Source organism: Homo sapiens, chromosome 5 (assembly GCF_000001405.40).
Source record: "Homo sapiens chromosome 5, GRCh38.p14 Primary Assembly".
Lineage (NCBI taxonomy): Eukaryota > Metazoa > Chordata > Mammalia > Primates > Hominidae > Homo > Homo sapiens.
In genome coordinates, this window is record NC_000005.10 from 177,633,180 (window position 1) to 177,657,113 (window position 23,934).

General features: G+C 39.3%; 1 pseudogene across 1 annotated transcript in view; it reads right to left on the reverse strand.

Moving 5' to 3' along the window:
- The window catches only part of SIMC1P1 (SIMC1 pseudogene 1), a 53,778-nt pseudogene that overhangs the window by 14,680 nt on the left and 15,164 nt on the right, over positions 1 to 23,934 (reverse strand). The window lies entirely within an intron of this gene.

Genomic DNA, 23,934 nt, shown 5'->3' on the forward strand with positions numbered 1-23,934 from the left:
TGATAAGGTAGGCATTATCAATCCATCATACAGATGAGGAAACTAGAGTTCAGAGGGGTTAGGTTATCTACCTTAAGATTATATAGCTAAGTAGCAGAGACAGACATTCAAACACAGATCTGTCTCCTTCTTTCCCTGTGAGGGCCTAGGAATATACAACTTGATTCAATATGTAATCAACCGAGAAACAGATATGAAAGATAATATAACAAGGGTAATAAAACCAATAGTGTAAGTCTGAGCCCTAAGTAAGTAAATTAATGAAAACTTCCGATCTCCACTTCCATTCCTTGGCAAATTGATCAGGCTATTCACAAAGCCTAATGATACAGTACAGAGGTATTGTAATCAACCTCTGTACCATGAGCCTGGAAAAATATTGCTCTACCTTCTGTCTTCTCACTTACTTGGATACTACTGCCACTGGTAGTTTAGGGCCCTGAGGCTAGCAATACTATTGCTGCTATCACAGCTACCATGCTATTTCTCTTAATAGATGGTCACCATTGTCAACAGCACCAAAGCAGAATACAGAATTCTGAGTGGGTCAAGTGAGAAGCTGGCATCCTGGAATAGGGATTCCCTCATCCTGGAATAGGGATTGCTTGGTGAAACCTAATGCCTCATTCTTAGGAAGCAGCCATATAGTATCACCACCTTTGGTGGCTTGGCTGTCAATGGCAAGAACTGAACATAAATAGCTGAAAGGCCATCAAAGGTCTGAACTCAACTCCTCTCCCACAGCCAACTGCTAAAATGCAACATCACCAGGTCTCTCCCATTTATTTATTTATTTATTTATTTATTTATTTATTTATTTATTTATTTTCTTGAGACGGAGTCTCGCTCTGTTAGCCTTGGCTGGAGTGTAGTGGTACAATCTTGGCTCACTGCAAACTCTGCCTCCTGGGTTCAAGCGATTCTCCTGCCTCACCCTCCCAAGTAGCTGGGATTACAGGTGTATGCCACCACACCAGACTAATTTCTGTATTTTATTTAATATTCTGTATTTATTTCTGTAGAGATGGGGTTTCACCACGTTGGCCAGGCCGGTCTCAAACTCCTGACCTTAGGTGATCCACCCGCTTTGGCCTCCCAAAGTGCTGGGATTACAGGCATGAGCCACTGTGCCTGGACATTTGAAACCCATCACCGGCTAGGCACGGTGGATCACCTAGGGCCTAGGAATGTTTGCTTTTGTCCTTTTACCTGGAATGACTATCATCCCTTTGATTGTTTGGAGTTTCTTATCTTTCAAGACACAGCACAGATACCATTACGTGTGAAATCCTTCCAGATCACTTCTCCCCGCTGGTTAAACTAACCCATTCCTCTATCATGTCTCCACTGAACCTATGCAAACCTCTCTCTCTATCCTCAAGAATTTAATGATATTGAAAATAGAAATGTATTTTTACTTCATTTTCCAATTGTCCATTGCTAATATAAATATACTTGATTTATGTATATTGATACTGTATCCTGCAACCTTGCTAAGTTCACATAATAGTTTGAGTAAACTTTTTTCGTCGATTCCTTGGGATTTTTTTTTTCTTTTTTTATTCTTTCAATTTATTTTTTTTAAGTGTTTGCTTACATTTTATTTTTATTTATTTTTAACTTTTAAAAAATTATTATAAGTTCTAGGGTACATGTGCACAACATGCAGGTTTGTTACATATGTATACCTGTGCCATGTTGGTGTGCTGCACCCATTAACTCATCATTTACATTAGGTATATCTCCTAATGCTATCCCTCCCCTAGCCCCCCACCCCATGACAGGCCCCGGTGTGTGATGTTCCCCTTCCTGTGTCCAAGTGTTCTCACTGTTTCAATTCCCACCTATGAGTGAGAACATGCGGTGTTTGGTTTTCTGTCCTTGTGATAGTTTACTGAGAATGATGATTTCCAGCTTCATCCATGTCCCTAACAAAGGACATGAACTCATCCTTTTTTATGGCTGCATAGTATTCCATGGTGTATATGTGCCACATTTTCTTAATCCAGTCTATCATTGATGGACATTTGGGTTGGTTACAAGTCTTTGCTATTGTGAATAGTGCCGCAATAAACATACATGTGCATGTGTCTTTATAGCAGTATGATTTATAATCCTTTAGGTATATACCCAGTAATGGGATGGCTGGGTCAAATGGTATTTCTAGTTCTAGATCCTTGAGGAATCGCCACACTGTCTTCCACAATGGTTGAACTAGTTTACAGTCCCACTAACAGTGTAAAAGTGTTCCTATTTCTCCACATCCTCTCAAGCACCTGTTGTTTCCTGACTTTTTAATGATCGCCATTCTAACTGGTGTGAGACGGTATCTCATTGTGGTTTTGATTTGCATTTCTCTGATAGCCAGTGATGAAGAGCATTTTTTCACGTGTCTGTTGGCTGCATAAATGTCTTCTTTTGAGAAGTATCTGTTCATATCCTTCGCCCACTTTTTGATAGGGTTGTTTGATTTTTTCTTGTAAATTTGTTTAAGTTCTTCGTAGATTCTGGATATTAGCCCCTTGTCAGATGGGTAGATTGCAAAAATTTTCTCCCATCAATACCTAATTGATTGAGAGTTTTTAGCATGAAGGGCTGTTGAATTTTGTCAAAGGCCTTTTCTGCATCTATTGAGATAATCATGTGGTTTTGTCTTTGGTTCTGTTTATATGATGGATTACGTTTATTGATTTGCATATGTTGAAACAGCCTTGCATCCCAGGGATGAAGCCCACTTGATCATGATAAGCAATTTGATGTGCTGCTGGATTTGGTTTGCCAGCATTTTATTGAAGATTTTTGCATCAATGTTCATCAGGGATATTGGTCTAAAATTCTCTTTTTTTGTTGTGTCTCTGCCAGGCTTTGGTATCAGGATGATGCTGGCCTCATAAAATGAGTTAGGGAGGATTCCCTCTTTTTCTATTGATGGGAATAGTTTCAGAAGGAACGGTACCAGCTCCCCCTTGTACCTCTGGTAGAATTCGGCTGTGAATCTGTCTGGTCCTGGACTTTTTTTCGTTGGTAGGCTATTAATTATTGCCTCAATTTCAGAGCCTGTTATTGGTCTATTCAGGGATTCAACTTCTTCCTGCTTTAGTCTTGGGAGGGTGTATGTGTCCAGGAATTTATCCATTTCTTCTAGATTTTCTAGTTTATTTGCATAGAAGTGTTTATTGTATTCTCTGACGGTCATTTGTATTTCTGTGGGATTGGTGGTGATAACCCTTTTATCATTTTTTATTGTGTCTATTTGAATCTTCTCTCTTTTCTTATTAGTCTTGCTAGTGGTCTATCAATTTTGTTGATCTCTTCAAAAAACCAGCTCCTGCATTCATTGATTTTTTGAAGGGTTTTTTGTGTCTCTATTTCCTTCAGTTCTGCTCTCATCTTAGTTATTTCCTGCCTTCTGCCAGCTAGCTTTTGAATGTGTTTGCTCTTGCTTCTCTAGTTCTTTTAATTGTGATGTTAAGGTGTCAATTTAGATCTTTCCTGCTTTCCCTTATGGGCACTTAGTGCTATAAATTTCCCTCTACACAATGCTTTAAATGTGTCCCAGAGATTCTGGTATGTTGTGTCTTTGTTCTCATTGGTTTCAAAGAACACCTTTATTTCTGCCTTCATTTCGTTATGTAGCCAGTAGTCATTCAGGAGCAGGTTGTTCAGTTTCCATGTAGTTGAGCGGTTTTGAGTGAGTTTCTTAATCCTGAGTTCTAGTTTGATTGCACTGTGGTCTGAGAGACAGTTTGTTATAATTTCTGTTCTTTTACGTTTGCTGAGGAGTGCTTTACTTCCAACTATGTGGTCAATTTTGGAATAAGTGCGGTGTGGTGCTGAGAAGAATGTATATTCTGTTGATTTGGGGTGGAGAGTTCTGTAGATGTCTATTAGGTCCCCTTGGTACAGAGCTGAGTTCAATTCCTGGATATCCTTGTTAACTGTCTCATTGATCTGTCTAATGTTGACAGTGGGGTGTTAAAGTCTCCCATTATTATTGTGTGGGAGTCTAAGTCTCTTTGTAGGTCTCTAAGGACTTGCTTTATGAATCTGGGTGCTCCTGTATTGGGTGCATATATATTTAGGATAGTTAGCTTTTCTTGTTGAATTGATCCCTTTACCATTATGCAATGGCCTTCTTTGTCTATTTTGATCTTTGTTGGTTTAAAGTCTGTTTTATCAGAGACTAAGATTGCAACCCCTGCCTTTTTTTGTTTTCCATTTGCTTGGTAGATCTTCCTCCATCCCTTTATTTTGAGCCTATGTGTGTCTCTGCACGTGAGATGGGTCTCCTGAATACAGCACACTGATGGGTCTTGAGTCTTTATCCAATTTGCCAGTCTGTGCCTTTTAATTGGAGCATTTAGCACATCTACATTTAATGTTAATATTGTTATGTGTGAATTTGATCCTGTCATTATGATGTTAGCTGGTTATTTTGCTCGTTAGTTGATGCAGTTTCTTCCTAGCATCGATGGTCTTTACAATTTGGCATGTTTTTGCAGTGGCTGGTACTGGTTGTTCCTTTCCATGTTTAGCACTTCCTTCAGGAGCTCTGGTAAGGCAGGCCTGGTGGTGACAAAATCTCTCAGCATTTGCTTGTCTGTAAAGGATTTTATTTCTCCTTCACTTATGAAGCTTATTTTGGGTGGATATGAAATTCTGGGTTGAAAATTCTTTTAAGAATGTTGAATATTGGCCCCCACTCTCTTCTGGCATATAGAGTTTATGCCGAGAGATCAGCTGTTAGTCTGATGGGCTTCCCTTTGTGGGTAACTCGCCCTTTCTCTCTGGCTGCCCTTAACATTTTTTCCTTCAACTTTGGTGAATCTGACAATTATGTGTCTCAGAGTTGCTCTTCTCGAGGAGTATCTTTGTGGCATTCTCTGTACTTCCTGAATTTGAATGTTGGCCGGCCTTGCTAGGTTGGGGAAGTTCCCCTGGATGATATCCTGAAGAGTGTTTTCCAACTTGGTTCCATTCTCCCTGTCACTTTCAGGTACACCAGTCAGATGCAGGTTTGGTCTTTTCACATAGTCCCGTATTTCTTGGAGGCTTTGTTCGTTTCTTTTTACTCTTTTTTCTCTAAACTTCTCTTCTCGCTTCATTCATTTGATCTTCAGTCACTGATACCCTTTCTTCCAGTTGATCAAATCAGCTACTGAAGCTTGTGCATGCATCACGTAGTTCTCGTGTCATGGTTTTCAGCTCCATCAGTTCATTTAAGGACTTCTCTTCACTGGTTTATTCTAGATAGCCATTCGTCTAATCTTTTTTCAAGGTTTTTAGCTTCTTTGCGATGGGTTCAAACATCCCCCTTTAGCTAGGAGAAGTTTGATCATCTGAAGCCTTCTTCTCTCAACTCGTCAAAGTCATTCTCCGTCCAGCTTTGTTCTGTTGCTGGCAAGGAGCTGCATTCCTTTGGAGGAGAAGAGGCACTCTGATTTTTAGAATTTTCAGCTTTTCTGTTCTGGTTTCTCCCCATCTTTGTGGTTTTATCTACCTGTGGTCTTTGATGATGATGACGTACAGATGGGGTTTTGGTGTGAATGTCCTTTCTGTTTGTTAGTTTTCCTTCTAACAGTCAGGACCCTTAGCTGCAGTTCTGTTGGAGTTTGCTGGAGGTCCACTCCAGACACTGTTTGCCTGGGTATCACCAGTGGAGGCTGCAGAACAGCAAATATTGCAGAACAGCAAATGTAGCTGCCTGATTGTTCCTCTGGAAGCTTCATCTCAGAGGGGCACCCGGCTATGTGAGGTGTCGGTTGGCCCCTACTAGGAGGTGCCTCCCAGTTAGGCTACTCAGGGGTCAGGGACCCACTTGAGGAGGCAGTCTGTCCGTTCTCAGATCTCAAACTCCATGCTGGGAGAACCACTACTCTCTTCAAAGCTGTCAGATACGGACATTTATGTCTGCAGAAGTTTCTGCTGCCTTTTGTTCGGCTATGCCCTGCCCCTACAGGTGGAGTCTACAGAGGCAGGCAGGCCTCCTTGAGCTGCGGTGGGCTCCACCTAGTTTGAGCTTCCTGGCTGCTTTACCTACTCAAGCCTCAGCAATGGCGGGCACCCTTCCCCAAGCTTCGCTGGCACCTTGTAGTTTGATCTCACACTGCTGTGCTAGCAATGAGTGAGGCCCCGTGGGCATGGGACCCTCTGAGCCATGCGCAGGATATAATCTCCTGGTGTGCTGTTTGCTAAGACCGTTGGAAAAGCACAGTATTAGGGTGGGAGTGACCCCATTTTCCAGGTGCCGTCTGTCACAGATTCCCTTGGCTAGGAAAGGGAATTCCCTGACCCTTTGTGCTTCCCGGGTGAGGCGATGCCTCGCCCTGCTTCGGCTCTTGCTTGGTGGGCTGCACCCACTGTCCTGCACCCACTGTCCGACAAGCCCCAGTGAGATGAACCCGGTACCTCAGTTGGAAATGCAGAAACCACCCGTCTTCTGCGCTGCCCACGCTGGAAGCTGTAGACTGGAGCTGCTCCTATTCGGCTATCTTGGAACCTAGGATTTCTATATACGTTTCTATATGTGTGTTGTCTGCAAATAAGTCTTACTTCCTTTCCAATCTGTATGCCTTTTTTTTTGCCTTATTGCAATTGCTAAGGCATTCAGTATAATTCTGAATAGAAGTGCCAAGAACAGACATTCTTGCTTTTTGTTTTTTGAGATGGGGTCTCACTATGTCACACAGGCTGGAGTGCAGTGGAGTGATCCTATGACCTCAGCCTCCTATGTAGCAGGGACTGCAGGTGTGTACCACCATGTCCAGCTTTTTTTTTTTCGTAGAGACGGGATGTCACTACAGACTGGTCTTGAACTCCTGGGCTCAAGTAATCCTCTTGCCTTGGTCTCCCAAAGTGGTGGGATGACCAGCGTGAGCCATTGTGCCTGGCCCTTGTTTTATTTCTTTTTAATTTTTATAAGTGCATAGTGTGTGTGTGTGTGTGTGTGTGTGTGTGTGTGTGTATAAATATAAAAAATATAATTATATATATAAAATTATATATAATTATATATAATATATAATATAATTATATATTATATAAAATTATATACAATATATAATTATATATTATATATTATATAAATTATATATATTATTATATAACATATAATTATATATTATATGAAATTATATAAAATTATATATTATATAAAATTATATATTATATAAAATTATATAATTATATATTATTATATATATTATATATTATATATTATATATAATTGTATATTATATATACAAATTATATATACAAATAATTATATATTAGATATTATATATAATAATTATATATATCTATGGGGTACATATTTTGAGACAGGAATATTTTGAGACATTGTATAATGTGTAATAATCACATCAGGGTAAATGGGTATCCATCACCTCAAGAATTCATTTCTTTGTTAAGAACATTCCAATTGGACTCCCTCAGTCATTCTGAAATGTATAATAAAATATTGCTTACTGTAGTCACCTTGTTGTGCTATCAAATACTAGATCTTATTCATTGTATCTAAAAATATTTTTGTACCCATTAACCATCCATTCTCTCCCAACCCCCTACTCCCCTTCCTAGCCTCTGGTAACCATCATTCTACTCACTATCACCATGAGTCTAATTTTTAGCTCTCACAAACAATGAGGACATGCAAAGTTTGTCTTTGTGTGCCTAACTTATTTCACTTAACAGAATGTCGTCCAGTTCTGGAAGGTTATTAATAATTATTGATTCTATTTCTTTATTGGATATAGGTCTACTTAAATTATCTACTCATACACTTTTTTTTTTGAGACAGAGCCTTGCTCTGTCACCCAGGCTGGAGCGCAGTGGTGAGATCTTGGCTCACTGCAACCTCCGCCTCCAGGGTTCAAATGATTCTCAGGCCTCAGCCTCCTGAGTAGCTGGGATTACAGGTGCCTGCCACCATGCCTGGCTAATTTTTGTATTTTTAGTAGAGACGGGGTTTTGCCATGTTGGCCAGGCTGGTCTCGAACTCCTGATCTCAGGTGATCTGCCCACTTTGGCCTCTCAAAGTGCTAGGATTACAGGCCACCATGCCTGACCCCTCTTTACTCTTCCCTCTCCTCCTGGTGCTGTGAGTTGTGCTGCCTGAAGTTGGGGAAGGGGTGACATAAGCTTTCCCTTGGCTGCCCCAGTTGGTGTCTCACTGGATCATGTGGACCCCAAATCCACTAGATGTGAGCCCAACACAGCACCAGGACTTGTGCAGGAATTGCAGTCCTTGTGGCCTAGACTGCCTTTCAAATTTATTCAGCACCCCAGAGCACCTTAGCCCATGGTGGTGGGGCTAGCTGGAACTCAAGTTCCGACTGCTAGGACGGGCAATTTGCCTCTGGCTATGTCTGTTCTAAATGCTTCTGCTGTGGGCACTGGCCAAATTCTGCCGCGTGTTGTTTTCTGCTGTGACAGGGCTGCAGTGAGTTCCGATGCAAAGTCTCACAATCACTTCGCTTTCTCTTCCCCAAGCACACAGATTCTCTCTCCACATCATACTGCACTGCTGGATGACGGAGGAGGTGTGGTATAGGCAATTCAAGACTATCTTTCCTAACTTCTTCAGTGCCTCTTTCCTTAATATGTTAAAACCAGGTACTGTGATTGCTCACCTGAGTTTTAGTTCTTCTGAAAGTGCTTTCTTGTGTGGATAGTTGTTCAAGTTGGTGTTCTTGCTTGGGGGACAAATGCTGGAGGGTTCTATTCAGCCATCTTGCTCTGCCTTCCCTGCTTGTTCTTGAACTTAGAAGAAAGAATTTCAGACTTCCATCATTAAGTATAATTCTAGCTGTGGGGTTTTCACAGACGCCTTTAAGGAAGTTCTCTTCTTTTCTTAGTTTACTCAGAGTTTAAATTGGGAAGAGCTACTAAATTTTGTCAAATGCTTCTTCAGCATCTGTTAAGATGATGATGATTTTTTGTTCTACTAATATCAGAATTTATATTGATGGATTTTCTAGTGTTAAATTAACCTTGCAATCCTGGGAAAGCTTCTCTTGGTTATGATGTATTGTTCTTTTCCTATATTGATGGGCTTCAGTGAATCGATATTTTGTTAAGAATTTTTGCATATTTATCCTGGGCACAGTGGTGCATGCCTGTAATCCCAGCACTTTGGGAGGCCTAGGCGGGAGGATCTCTTGAGCTCAGGAGTTCAAGACCAGCCTGGGCAACAAAGCAAGACCTTGTCTCTACAAAAAAAATAAAATAAACTGGCTGGGCGTGGTGGCATATGCCAGTGGTCCCAGCTACCTGGGAGGCTCAGAAGGGAAGACTGCTTAAATGTGGGAGGTCAAGGCTGCAGTCAGCTGTGGGGTCACCACTGCACTCCAGCCTGGGCAATAGAGTGAGGCGTCATCTCTCAGAAAAAAAAAATTTGCATGTTTATATGGGATTTTTATTTGTAATTTTCTATTTTTGTAATTTTTTTTCTGTTTTTGTTATCAGAGTAAAACTGATTTAATAAAGTAACTTGAGAAACAGTCCTACCCCTTCTATTTAAGTTGTGTTTGAATGGTACTATGTCTTTCTTAAATGTTTGGTGAAATTCACCAGTGAACCTCTTTGCACCTGAAATTTGCTTTGCAGGAAAGGTACAAATTAAAATTACAAATTCAATTTCTTTAGTAGACATAGGGCTATTAATATTTTATCTGCCTTCTTGTGTTAGTTTTATGACTTGTGTTTTTCCAGAAATTTGTCCATTTCATTTATCAAATTTATTGGCATAAAATTGTTCATATTTCCTGTCAACTTTATAATTCTATACTCTGTATAGATTTATTCCCAATTCCTATTTTTATCCCCAATATTGGTAACATTTTTTAAATCCCTGATCTAGCTATTTATCAACTTTATTGATCTTTTTGATCTGTTTCCTATTTCATCTATTTCTGTTATCTTTATTATTTCCTTCTTTCTACTTTGTATTTAATTTGTTCTTTCTCTAGCTTCTTAAATGGAAGCTTAGGTTTAGACTTTTTTCTTTTCTAACATTAACATTTAAAACTAAAAATTTCACTGTAATGACTACTTTGGCTTCATCCCACAATTTTAAAAAGTATGTGAATTTTTCTGAAGGACACAATTTTTAATATGTAGTCATTTTATTATCATGTGGTTCAAATTTACTTTCATTATGGTCAGAAAACATACTCTGTAAGATTTTAATCTTTTGAAATACACTGAGACTCATGTCCTAACACACGGCCTACCCTGGTGAATCTTCCTTGTGTACTTAGGGAGAAAAAGTGTATTCTGTATTTGTTAGTTACAGTTCTATAAATATCAATCAGGTCATGGTAGTTAATAGTGTTTTTCAGATCTTTGATTTCTTTACTTTGGTGGGGGCGATCCAGTTGTATTATCAACTACAGAGTGAAAAGTGTCCAACTACGGTTGTAGTTTGACTGTTTTCCCTCTCTTAGTTGTTTGCTTCATGTATTTTGAAACTGTATTTATTAGGTGCATATACACATGTAATTCTTATAACTTCCTAATGTGTTAACTCTTTTATCATTATGAAAGATTCCTCTTAGTCTCCAGAAATCTTCCTTGTATTGATGTCTTGTTTTTCTGGTAAGAATAGAGTTACTACAAATTTCTTGTGCATACTATTTGCATGGTATATTTCTTTCTATCCTTTTACTCTCAGTGTATTTGCATCTTTATATGTAGAATGTCTCTCATATAGACAGTACATCTCATATAGATAGCACATACTTGGTTCTTGCTTTTTTTTTTGGTCCAGTCTGACAATCTCTGCCTTTTGTTTAGAATTTTGGTCTATTTACACTTAATTATTTACATGTTCACTTTTAAACCTACAATCATACCATCTCTTTCCTATTTCTTCTATCCATTATTTGTTTCATTGTCCCTCTTTTCCTACCTCCCTTTATGCTAGTGACATATTTTTTGGCATTCCATTTTAACTCCTCTATTGGTTTTCTATCTATATGTCTTTTCATTATATTTTTAGTGGTTGCTCTTGGGACTACAGTGTATAAATTCAATTTATTCCAGTGTACTTTAGAAAATTTTAGAAAATGTATTGAATTACTTCTTGGCACAGCATGGTGGCTCAGGCTTGTAGTCCTAGCACTTTGGGAGGCCAAGGTGGGCAGATTGCTTGCGCTCAGGAGCTGTGGAGACCAGCCTTGGCAACATGGTGAAACTCCATCCCTACAAAAAAATCTGGCTGGCGTGATGGTGCGCACCTGTAGTCCCAGCTACTTGGCGGGGCTGAGTCAAGAGGATTGCTTGAACCTGGGAGGTTGAGGCTGCAGCGAGCTGAGATTGCATCACTGCACTCAAGCCTGGGGGACAAAGCCAGACAAAGACAAGCCTGGGGGACAAAAAAAAAAAAAAAAAAAAAAAACAGAAAGAAAAGAAAATTTATCGAATTACTTAAGGTAAAACTATAGAAACCTTACAAAATATTCCACTCACCTGTGCCTCATCCTGTATTTTTGTTGTCCTGTGTATTATCTGTATACATTGTAAACACATCAGCACAGTAGTACTATACTTTTTCAGTCACTTGTCTTTTAAAGATATTAAGACATAACAAAAAATCATTATTTTTGTTTTACACACATTTACAATTTCATGTGCTCTTCACTCCTTTGTGTAGATCCAAATATCCATTTAGGTGTCATTTCCCTTCAGCCAAAATGTCTTATAGTGCAGGTCTGCTAGTGAAAAATTCTCTCATCTCTGTTTATCCAAAAATGTCTTTATTTTCCCCTTATTTTTGAAGGATAATTTTTCCAGATGCAGAATTCTTGGCTGAAAGCTTTCTTTTTTCCATCATTTGAATATGTTGGTCCAATGTCTTTTGACCTCCACAGTTTCTGATAAGAAGTGAGGTGTTAACTGCACTGTTGTTCCCTATGTACAATATACCATTTTTCTCTGGACAGTCAATAAGTGGTTTTCTTTGTAATTATCTTGCTTTCAGTCTGCTGTACTACTTGGGTAAGTTAATTTTTTCCCACAAAATGTGAGAAAATTCCAGTCATTATTTCTTCAAAAAATTTTCTATAATTTACTGCTGCCCCTCCTTCTAAGACTCTAATTATACCTATTATGGATTGTTTGATATTGCCCTACATATCTCTTTTCAACTTTATTCCATCTTTTTCTCCCCTGTTTCTCGAAACTGGGTGATTTCTATTGATCTAGCTTGAACTTCATGGCTTCTTTTGCCAATCTGCTTTGTTTTCTAATCTACTGTTGAAGCTATTTAGATTTTTAAAAAATTTCAGTTACTGTATTTTTCAACTCTCAAATTTCCATTTTTATAGTTTCCATTTCTTGGTTGAGATTTTCCACCCCACTCATTGATGTCATAGTTTAACTCATTGAACACATTTACAATAATTGCTTTGAAGTTTCTGTTAAATCCAACAACTAGGCTCACTCAGAGTCAGTTTCTATTGACTGCCCTTTCCCCCTCCTTGAGTATGAGTCACACTTCTGTTTCTTTGCATGCCTAGACACTGGGTTTAACTGTGTTCTTCTAAGAATTGTTGTGGGGTTTTTGTTGTTCTAGTAGATATTAATACTTAACCTGCCTAGATTCGAACTGCAAACTTTGTCTCCCTTGCACAATATAGGTACTGATATCTTTGTTCTTATGGTTTCCAGCTGCTGTTGTTTTAACCTGGCCTCTTGAGGCGGGAGGCGGGGGGGGGGTCCTCTGTTGTGCCTACATAATTTGGCTGTCAGCCAACCACCTGAGCAGTCATTATACTAAAATTTTGCAGTTCACCCTTCGTATGATTTTTCTTGTTTGCAGGGATTCCTCTGTAATTTCTTGCTCCGCCAGCCTTGACCTCTGTCCCCTGACATTTCAAGTCCATAAAATCTCAGCTTTCTGCCACCCAAGTTGCAAATGACTGGGGAATGCAATCAGTTAAAAAAGCCGCAAAGTCACAGATATCACCCTATGCAGCTATCTTGTAAGAATAGATTCCTCTCTGGTATCTGCCTGATTTCTCACCGGGCCCTCAGAGAGTACTTTAACTGTGAGGCAGTTTCACAGATTGGAAGTAGAATCCAACTGCATTGCTCTTCAAATTCTGGAGAGAGTCAGTTGCTCCCCTCTTTGATGGTTCCATAGCACACTGTATATACTAATATTACTTTAGCACATATCATGAGGCATTTTGCAGGGTACTTAATTATCTTCTCCCCCATTTGAGAATAACCTCTTTTTGTATCCTGTATCCTTGGTAGCTATAAGGTACTTGGATCCAACACGATTAATAAATAAATTTAATCTAATAATATTTGTTAATTTATTCTCATTTCATTGTTCTCTCATACTCTCCCTAACTCCTAATTAAGTAATTTGCATTTCCATCACATATTGCTCCAATTAAACTTTCACATATAACAAATTATCTAATTTTAACAGTTGTATTGCCAGAGGGAGGAGAAACACAGATTACTAAGGCATCCCGATATTTGGCATCTGCAGAGTGAAACTAGGAAATAACTCCAACAGGCCTCCTAATTAACCCTATTTTCAGACATTGTGAGGTGAATGTTATTCACATTTTAGAGCAAAACAAAGAAAGCTCAGAAACCAGAACACTTTTCCTTTGGGGCTTTGGATTTAAGAAATTGGAAGTGTCAGATTCACCTATACCAGCAAACTGCTGACTCGAGGCTTATCACCCACTTATGGTGTTGATAATGGGATATGCTGCCTGCCACTCTAGTTTCTGTTCACAGTTTTTGGTTAATTTTACTCTTTGGAGACTTCTGTTAATTCTTGCCAGCCTGGCTAGCAGGACAAATTAGTTTCGGTCAGAATCCTGTTTGTTTGTTTGTTTGAAGTGGAGAGTCCTTCTAAGTTGGCTATACTCCTGAAGGAAAAAATTCCTGGTCAAGGCTTGTGTTGAATTTCTATCCAGTGACCTTGTTAAACTCCCTCAATTAGGTCCTAGGAGGGTTTTGTTGTTGTTGTTGGGGGTGGGTATATTCCTTGAGATCTTCTGCATAGACAATCATGTCATCTGGAAATAGGGACAGTTTCATTTCTTTTTTCCAATCTGTATGCCTTTTATTCCCCTTTCCTATTTTACTTTTTTTGTAGAAATGGTATCTCCCTATCTTGCTCAGGCTGGTCTTGAACTCCTGGGCCCAAGCAATCTTCCCTCCTTGGCCTCCCAAAGTGCTGGCATTATAGGCATGAGCCACCATGCCTGGCCTATTTCCTTTTCTTAACTAATTGCTCCAGCTGAGACTTCCAGCACCATCTGAATAGGAGCAGTAAAAGCAAATATCATTGCTTTGTTCTAAATCTCACAGTCCACAATCAAATGTGGGAGCAATGGGCTGATCTAAGGTTTGAACTTAAAATTAAAAGGAAAGCAGACTGTAAAAGTCTGAAAAATTTGCAACCCAGTCCTGTGGTAGGGAAGGAACAAGCATTTTTAGGAGAGAAATTTAAAGGGGCTGAAGAGCAACCACTTGCAGAAGAAATTAGCAAGACAATGGGAAAAAGGCCTAGAGGCCTAGAAGGACAGAATGGTTTCAGGAGCCCAATCCAAATTCAGGCTGTTCAGGCCCCAGTCAGGGCTCAAAAGGCCCCAGGCATGGCTCAGGCTGCCAATCAGAGGCCCTGGCAGCTTCCATGTGGTGTTAAGTCTGTAGACACACAGAATGCAGGAGCGCATTCTGGCAGTTTCCACCTAGATTTCGGAAGATGTATCAGAAAGTCTGCATGCCCAGGCAGAAGCCTGCCATGGGGCAGAGCCCCCACAGAGAGACTCTACTAGGGCAGTGCCAAGGGGAAATGTGGGGTTGGAGCCCCCATAGAGTCCCTACTGGGCTACTCCTTAGTAGAACAAGGCTGCTGCCCTCCAGAGCTGAGAGTGGTAGAGCCACCAGCAGGTTGTATTTTCAGCCTGGAAAAGCCAAAGGCCCAACTCCCACCTGTGGGAGTAGCCATATAGGCTGTGCCCCAGTAAAGCCAAAGGGTGGGGCTACCCAAGGCCTTAGGAGCCCACCCCTTGCACCAGTATGCCCAGGATGCAGGACATGGAGTTAAGGGAGATTATTTTGGAGCTTTAAGATTTAATGTCTGCCCTGCTGAGTTCTGGACTTACATGAGGCCTATTACCCCTTTCTTTTGGCCATTTTTTTCCTTCTGGAATGGGAATGTTTACCCTATGCCTGTACAATCATTGTATCTTAGAATTCAATAACTTGCTTTTCATCTTACAGGCTCACAGCTGGAAGAAATTAGCCTTCAGTCTCAGATGAGATTTTGCATTTTTTTAATTGATAGTGGAATGAGTTAAGACTTTTGGAAATTATTGGGAAGGGATGATTATATTTTGCAATGTGAGAAGGATATGACATTTGGGGGGCCAGGGAAAGAATAATAGTTTGGATATTTGGCCCCTCCAAGTGTCAGGTTAAAATTTGATCCCCAGTGTTGGAGGTAGGACCTGGTGGAATCATGGGGACAGATCACTCATAAATGTCATGGTGCCATTCTCAAGGGATTGAGCCAGTTCTCACTCATAGTTCCTGCAAAATATGAATGTTCTTTTTTCTCTTCCTCCTTCTCTCACCATGAGACATACCTGCTCCCCATTCACCTCTGCCATGGTTGGAAGCTTCCTGAGGTCCTCACTAGAAGCAGATGCTGGTGCCATGCTTCTTGTTCAGCCTGCAGAATTATGAGCCAAATAAACCTCTTTTCTTTATAAATGACTCAGCCTCAGGTATTCCCTTACAGCAATGCAAAATGAACTAAGACAGCTATTCTGAATCTTTTGTCCCTCCATATAAACTTTACAATCAGTTTGTTGATGTTCATAGAACAAATTGCTGGGATTTTGATTGGGATTGCATTGAATCTACCAATTAAGTCAGGAAGAATTGACATCTTGATGACATTGAGTTTTCCTATTCGCAAACATGAAATGTTTCTCCATTTATGTAGTTCTTCTTTGACACCCGTCATCACAGTTTTCTATATAAAGATTTTGTAGATATTTTGTTATATTTACGCCTATTTGTTCAATTTCTGGGAGTGCTAATGTAAATGTAAATGGTAATGTATGTTTCATTTCAAATTCCACTTTTTCATTGTTAGTATATAGGAAAGCAACTGAGTTTTGTATGTTAACCTTGTGTTCTGCAAACTCACTATAATTGCTTGTTAGTTCCAAGAGGTTTTTTTCTAGATTCTTTGAGATTTTCTACATAGACAAATCATGTCTTCAGTGAACAAAGACAATTTTATTTCTTCCTTCCCAATCCACATACTTTTTCTTTTTTTGAGACAGAGTCTCACTCTGTCACCCAGGCTGGGGCACAGTGGTGCAATCTCGGCTCATTGCAACCTCTGCTTCCTGGGTTCAAGTGATTCTTCGGCCTCAGCCTCCCAAGTAGCTAGGACTACAGGTGCTCACCACCATGCCTGGCTGATTTGTATATTTTTAGTAGAGACGAGATTTCACCGCACTGGCCAGGCTGGTCTCGAACTCCTGGCCATAAGTACTCCACCTGCCTTGGCCTCCCAAAGTGCTCAGATTACAGGCGTGATCTACCATGCCCAGCCCTGTATCTTTCTTTTCTTCTGTTTTCTTTTTTTGTCACATTAGCTAGGACTTCCAGTACAATGCTGAAAAGGAGTAGTGAGGAGACATCCTTGCCTTATCCCTGATCTTAGTAGGAATGCTTCAAGTTTTTCACCATTAGGTATGATGTTAGTGGCAGGTTTTTTGTAGATGTTCTTTCGGAAGTTGAGGAAGTTCCCCTCTATTCCTAGTTTGCTGGAAGGCTTTTTTTTTTTTAAATCATGAATGGGTGTTAAATGCTTTTTTGGCCTCTATTGAAGGGATCATGTGATTTCTCTTCTTTAGCCTACTGATGTGGTGAATTGCATTAATGGATTTAATTGATTTTCAAATGTAGAATTGACCTTGCATACCTGGGAGAAATCCTACTTGGTCACGATGTGTAATTCTTTTTGAACATTGTTGGATTTGATTTGCTAATATTTTGTTGAGGATTTTTGCATCTGTGTTCATAAAAGATATTGGTCTGTAGTTTTCTCTTATAATTTGTCTTGCTTTGGTATTAGTGTAATGTTGGTCTCATAGAGCTAGTTAGCAAGTAGTCCCTCTGCTTCTATTCTCTGAAAGATTGTTGAGAATTTATATCATTTCTTCCTTAAATATTTGTTGGAATTCACTCGCCAACCCATCTGGGCCTGGGGCTTTCTGTTTTGGAAGGTTACTAATAATTATTGATTCTATTTCTTTATTGAATATAGGTCTACTTAAATTACTTATTCATAAAACTTTTTTTTCCCTTTTTTTTTTTGAGACAGAGTCTTGCTCTGTCACCCAGCCTGGAGTGCAGTGGCATGATCTCAGCCCACTGCAACTTCCACCTCCTGGGTTCAAGTGATTCTCCTGCCTCAGCCTCCAGAGTAGCTGGGATTACAGGTGCATGCCACCACACCTGGCTAATTTTTGTATTTTTAGTAGAGATGGGGTTTCGCCATGTTGGCCAGGCTGGTCTCAAACTCCCAGCCTCAAGTGATCCACCCGCCTCGGCCTTCCAAAGAGCTGGCTGGGAATACAGGTGTGAGCCACCGTGCCCAGCCATCATACACCTTTTATAACAAAAATTTAAATTTTAAAAAGCATTTGTTCTACCCAAATTGATCTATAAGCTTAATAATTACAAACAAAATTCCAATGGGATTTTAAAAAGTAACAGATAAGATGATTCATAACTTCATTTCAAATAGGAAAAGCAGCCGGGCGCGGTGGCTTGTGCCTGTAATCCCAGCACTTTAGGAGGCTGAGGTGGGCAGATCACTTAAGGTCAGCAGTTTGAGACCAGCCTGGCCAATATGACGAAACCCCATCTCTACTAAAAATACAAAAATTAGCTGGGCATGGTGGCGTACACCTGTAATCCCAGCTACTCAGGAAGCTGAGGCAGGAGAATCACTTGAACCCGGGAGGCAGAGGTTGCAGTGAGCTGAGGTTGTGCGACTGCACTCCAGCCTGAGTGACACAGCAAGACACCGTCTGAAAAAAAAAAGAAAAAAACAAAGAATGTTACTACTGCTGTATGTAGTTGCCACTGCTGCTGCCATCTTCACTAAATTGGAGTTCACCTGGGCCCTGCTTCTTCCTGTCACCAGCTTCTGGTAGAACCTAGGTCCCACGTCTGAGCACTAGGTGTACCAGAGCCTGGGAAAGTGAGCATCTGCCATTTCTGCTTCTTTACACAGAAGTAGATTGTATCTCTGAAGGTGGGAGTTCTGTACACTCCTAGTGTTCTGAGATTCAGAAACTAGGATGTCACAAGGAATGACATAATGTCCACAATAGTGGTATATATTAAAATAAAAAAAGACATATTACTCTTTATCCTCAAAATTCCACTGCAAGGAACTTGTCCTACAAACATTTTTTTTCCTTTTTTAACCATAAAATGCAGAGAAAAAAACCGTATTTTAATGACCATGCAAGAGGATTCATCATATCATAGTCTAACATCAAAAAAATTAAAATCAATAAGAGACTGGCTAAGTTTGGTTTTTAAAAATTTTTATTAAAATTTCTTTTTAGTTTCATAGGTTTTTGGGTAACAGGTGGTATTTGGTCACACAAGTAAGTTCTTTAGTGGTGATTTGTGAGGTTTTGGTGTACCTACCACCCAAGCAGTATACACTGAACCTAATTTGTAGTCTTTCATCCCTCGCCCCCTTCTCACCCCTTCCCTGAGTCGCCAAAGTCATTCTTATGCCTTTGCATCCTCATAGTTTAGCTCCCACTTATGAGGGAGAACATACGATGTTTGGTTTTCCATTCCTGAGTAATTATGTTTTTTTAACATTAGAATAACATGCAGCTGATAAAACGATTATTGAATGAATACTTACAATGTACCAGGCACCATGTTGTGCACTGGGAATACCATTGCAAGCAAAATGAATAATGGTCTGAATGAGGTATGAATTTTTTAAATGTCTATTACATATTTTTTAATTTTAAAATATATATACTAATTATATATAAATATATATAAATTTTAGTTTTTATTTTAATGCCTATAATATATTAAGTAATTTTAAAAAGTTAGCATGACCCCATTGGGAAAGAATTATACATTTAAATATGTTTGTGCACACACAAGGAAAATTTCTGGAGCAATACACAAAAACTGTAGTTATCTAGAGTAGAAATAGATAGGGGCAGGTTCTTACATAAGAATTTCTTACCTGTATTTACAGTTTATGATTATTATTATTTTTGAGATAGAGTCTTGCTCTGTTGCCCAGGCTGGAGTGCAGTGGCACGATTTCGGCTCACTGCAACCTCCACCTCCCAGATTCAAGTAATTGTCATGCCTCAGCCTCCAGAGTAGGTGGGACTACAGGCGCGTGCCACCACTCCCAGCTAACTTTTGTATTTTTAGTAGGGACAGGGTTTTGCCATGTTGGCCAGGCTGGTCTTGAACTCCTGACCTCAGGTGATCCGCCTGCCTCAGCCTCCCAAAGTGTTGGGATTATAGGCGTGAGCCACCACGCCTGGCCTATTTACAATTTAAAAATAATGTTTATAATTTTTTTTTCCAGATGGAGTCTCGCTCTGTCACCCAGGCTGGAGTGCAGTGGAGCCATCTTGGCTCACTGCAACCTCTGCCTCCCAGGTTCAAGTGATTCTCAGTCCTCAGCCTCCCAAGTAGCTGGACTACCATGCCTGGCTGATTTTTTGTATTAGTGGAGATGGGGTTTCACCATATTGTCGAGGCTGGTCTCGAACTCCCAACTCAAGTGATCTGTCCACCTCAGCCTCCCAAAGTGCTGGGATTACTGGCGTGAGCCACCATACCCAGCCTAATGTTTATAATTTAAAATGGGAAAAAATTATTTTTCGAATGATATGATTATGTACCTTTAAAACATAAGCAAATCAGAGAACCCACTGGAGGGTACAGGGTTTCCTTCTGGAGTGAAGTAAATGTTCTAAAATTAGATAGTGGTGATGGCTGCACAACTCAGAGAATTTTATGGTATGGTATGGAATTATACTTTAATAAAGCTGTTATTAAAAGACCCACTGGAATAAGGTAACACTTTACAAATTAGCTAATACAAAAATACAAAACTAAATCCCTACCAGACAGGAAGGAACACTTTGTCTTCATGGGTAGCCAGACCCACCAACCTCCCAAAGACAGCTCAGGATAAATGAGGGATGTTGGAAGTGATCTGCAGGCTTTCAAGGAAGCTGAACTTGATTTAAGACCCAAGTTAATTTCACATCTGATGTATTAAATTCAAAATGTAGATGAATTTTCCTTTCTATTCTATGGCAGCTCCATACAGCTGTAGTGAATATTATATTAATAAGTTCACTAACTTATGCGATTGTGCCACTGCACTCCAGCCTGGGTGAGAGAGCAAGACTCTATCTCAAAAAAAAAAGGAGTTTTAAAAAACAATTTTTGTATTAAAAAACTCTCGTGAGTCTATTTTTCCAAAACCATCCGTTTAAAAAATAGAATTATATTTTGTGACTTGCTTTTTTCCACTTAACTGTTTACTACTACCATCCCCACCTGATGTTCCCTTGGAAACCTGGTATGAGGTTTGAAAAAGTTTGCCCCAGGATCTTAAAGATGGAGACAAGCAGTGGTAAACCTGCTCTACTAGTTAGCATCTGGTTGAAGCTACCTTAGTTTCCTCATTTACCAAACAGGGATAATAATACTACCTACCTCATGGGGTTGCAGTGAAGATTATGAGTTAATCCAAGTAAAGCACTTGACATGGTACCTGGCATAAATGCCAGCTATTCTTATTATGTGATGCTTACCATGATTGATATGTTTAACCCTACATAGCACATAGTCATTCAGAATCAAAACACTAGCTCCATAAAAAGGCACCAAACCCAAGGAAGTCTTATAGTTTTACTGATCACCAAGAAGCAAATCTCATAAAATGAAAGTTATACTATACTTCTGCTTAGAAAGACAATATTGTAAAGACATTAACTCTCCTTTAATTAACTTATAAAACTAATGTAGTGGTTCTGAACTGGTGCAATTTTACCCCCTACCCAGGGGCTATTTGGCAATGTCTGGAGACATTTTTGATTGTCACAAGTTGAGGGGTTACTACTGGCAGGCATCTAGCGGGTAGAGGTCAGAGATGCTATTAAATATCCTACAGTGCATAGGACAACCCCATGCAACAAATAATTATACGGCCCAAAGAAACAATCTAATGCAGTCTTTGACAAAATTATTCTAAAATTCATTTGGGGGAACAAATGGGTACAAATAGCCAGGACATTTTTTTGGGGGGAAAAATAGTAAGGAGACACATACGTACATATGTATGTATTCCCCATATGTTGAATTGTAATCCCCAAGGTTAGAGGTGGGGCCTGGTGGGAGGTGTTTGGGTCATGGGGGCAGATCCCTCATGGCTTGGTGCTGTCTTCACAATAATGAGCTATTGCGAGATCTGGTTGTTTGCATCTGTGGCACCTTCGCACCCCCACTCTCACTCTCTTGCTCTCTCCATGTGACGTGCCAGCTCCCACTGTGCCTTCCACCATGATTGTAAGCTTCCTGAAGTCTCATCAGAAGGTGAACAGATGCCGGCACCATGCTTCCTGTACAGTCTTTGGAACTGTGAGCTCTTTTCTTGATCAATTACCCAGTCTTAGGCATTTCTTTTGTTTTTTAATTTTAAAAAATTTTTATATAAAAGTCTTTGATCCATCTTGAATTGATTTTTTGCATAAGGTGAGAGATGAGTATTCTCAGGGATTTCTTTACAGTAATGCAAGAACAGCCTAACACATATACTGCTTTATGAAATCCCGAAAGATATATCAAACTATAAAAATAAAACAGGAAAGTTATGGTATTGAATAAAGAAATCAATGAAACATAATGGAAAACCCAGAAACACAAGTAAATAAAATAATTTGGTATAAAAATATGTTACGGGCCAGGTGTAGTGGCTCACACATGTTGTAATCCCAGTGCTTTGGGAGGCCAATGTGGTAGGACCACTTGAGGCAAGGAGTTCAAGACCAGTGTGGGCAACATAGTGAGACCCTGTCTCTACCAAAAAATAAATTAATTAATTTAAAAAATTAGCCAGGCATGGTGGTGTCTGCCTATAGTCCTGCCTACTCAGGAGACTTGAGGCAGGAGATTACTTGAGCCCAGGAGTTCAAGGCTGCAATGAGCTATGATTCTGCCACTGCACTCCAGGTTGGGTAACAGTGAGATTCTAAAACAAAAAATGTTACAAATAATTGGAGAAAAGATAATTGTTTTAAAATGACTGACACAATTGATAACACCATATTTTATAATCTAATATGTGGAATGTTTCCATAATACATATATAACCAGGATGTATACTATAATTAATGTGTGCATTTCATGTGGTAGTGTTTCTTTTTAGAAAAGGTGTTTTTAAAATGACAGCAAGTCTTAGATTTGTTGTTGTCTTAGAAATAAGGCAAGAAATTAAATTTTATCCTTAAGTAAAATGACTAACTATTTAAGAAAGAAGGACAAAACTGAAGGTCTAAACATGCCATAGAAGGTCTAAACATATCATGGAAAGTTTGCGAAGGATGAATTTACAAAAGAAATTTGTGGTGACCAAGTTGGCTATAATTAGAAGAAACTTACTTATAAGTATTTCTAAAGACTGCTTCAATTAAAAAATACATGTGTGTATATATATTTATATACACATTGATATGAAAACTAAAATTTTGGTCTCCTATATTAGAACAATGTTTTCTTGAAGTATTGATCTGCTTTTAATAACATTTGCAAGAGATTTTGACCTAATTCTGAAATTTGTTTCTTAAATTTTCAACTATCTTCTGAAGTGCAGCTTTTTTGTTTGTTTGTTTTTTAGTCTTCCTTTCTCTAATATCAGTTTTAAAATGAATCTTCTTCATTTAGAATGGTAATTTCATATTTTGAGGTAGAGTTTTCCTGTGGAAGCTTCTCAGATTCACATCTCAGTAGTTAAACTTTTGCTGTATCTTGTTTCATGTGATTTGCAGGTCAGACATTTCTGCCTTTTGGTCTTCCACTTTCTCTCCTTGAGACAGTATATCTTTTTGTTTGGTGAGGTGATAATTCTCTTTTAACTTTTTCATCTTCTGTAACTTTTTTTCTCCAGCTCTAACTCTGCTTTAACGGCCTGACACTGAAATGTTCTATCTTGAAGGCCTAGAAAAGTTGTTTTCCTCCAGTATATCCTGATTCTGTGCTCTTGGCTTTCTTACTTTCTTTCTTTCTTTTCTTTTCTTTTTTTTTTTTTAGGAGTACTCATTTTTTAATTTGTTTATTTTAGTCAGGATATTTTCTGAAGTAAAATTTCACAGAAAACAAAATTTTATTTTACATGTACATTTCATCTCTTTAAAGTCAAGTTAGCTCTTTTTCTTTAAAAAAAAAAAAAAAAAAAAAAAAGACAGTCTCACTCTGTCACCCAGGCTGGAGTGCAGTGGCACGATCTTGGCTCACTACAACTTCTGCCTCCAGGTTCAAGCGATTCTCCTTTCTCAGCCTCCAGAGTAGCTGGGGTTACGAATGTGCGCCACTACACCCAGCTCATTTTTTGTATTTTTAGTAGAGACAGGGTTTCACCATGTTGGCCAGGCTGGTCTCAAATTCCTGTCCTCAAGTGATCAGCTCGCCTCAGCCTCCCAAAGTGCTGGGATTACAGGCATGAGCCACAGCACCCGGTCCTGAAGATAACGTTTTTATGACTTTTATTTGAAACATTATTGGTTCTTTTTTTTTTTGAGGTGGAGTCTTGCTCTGTTGCTCAGGCTGGAGTGCAGTGGCACGATCTCAGCTCACTGCAAC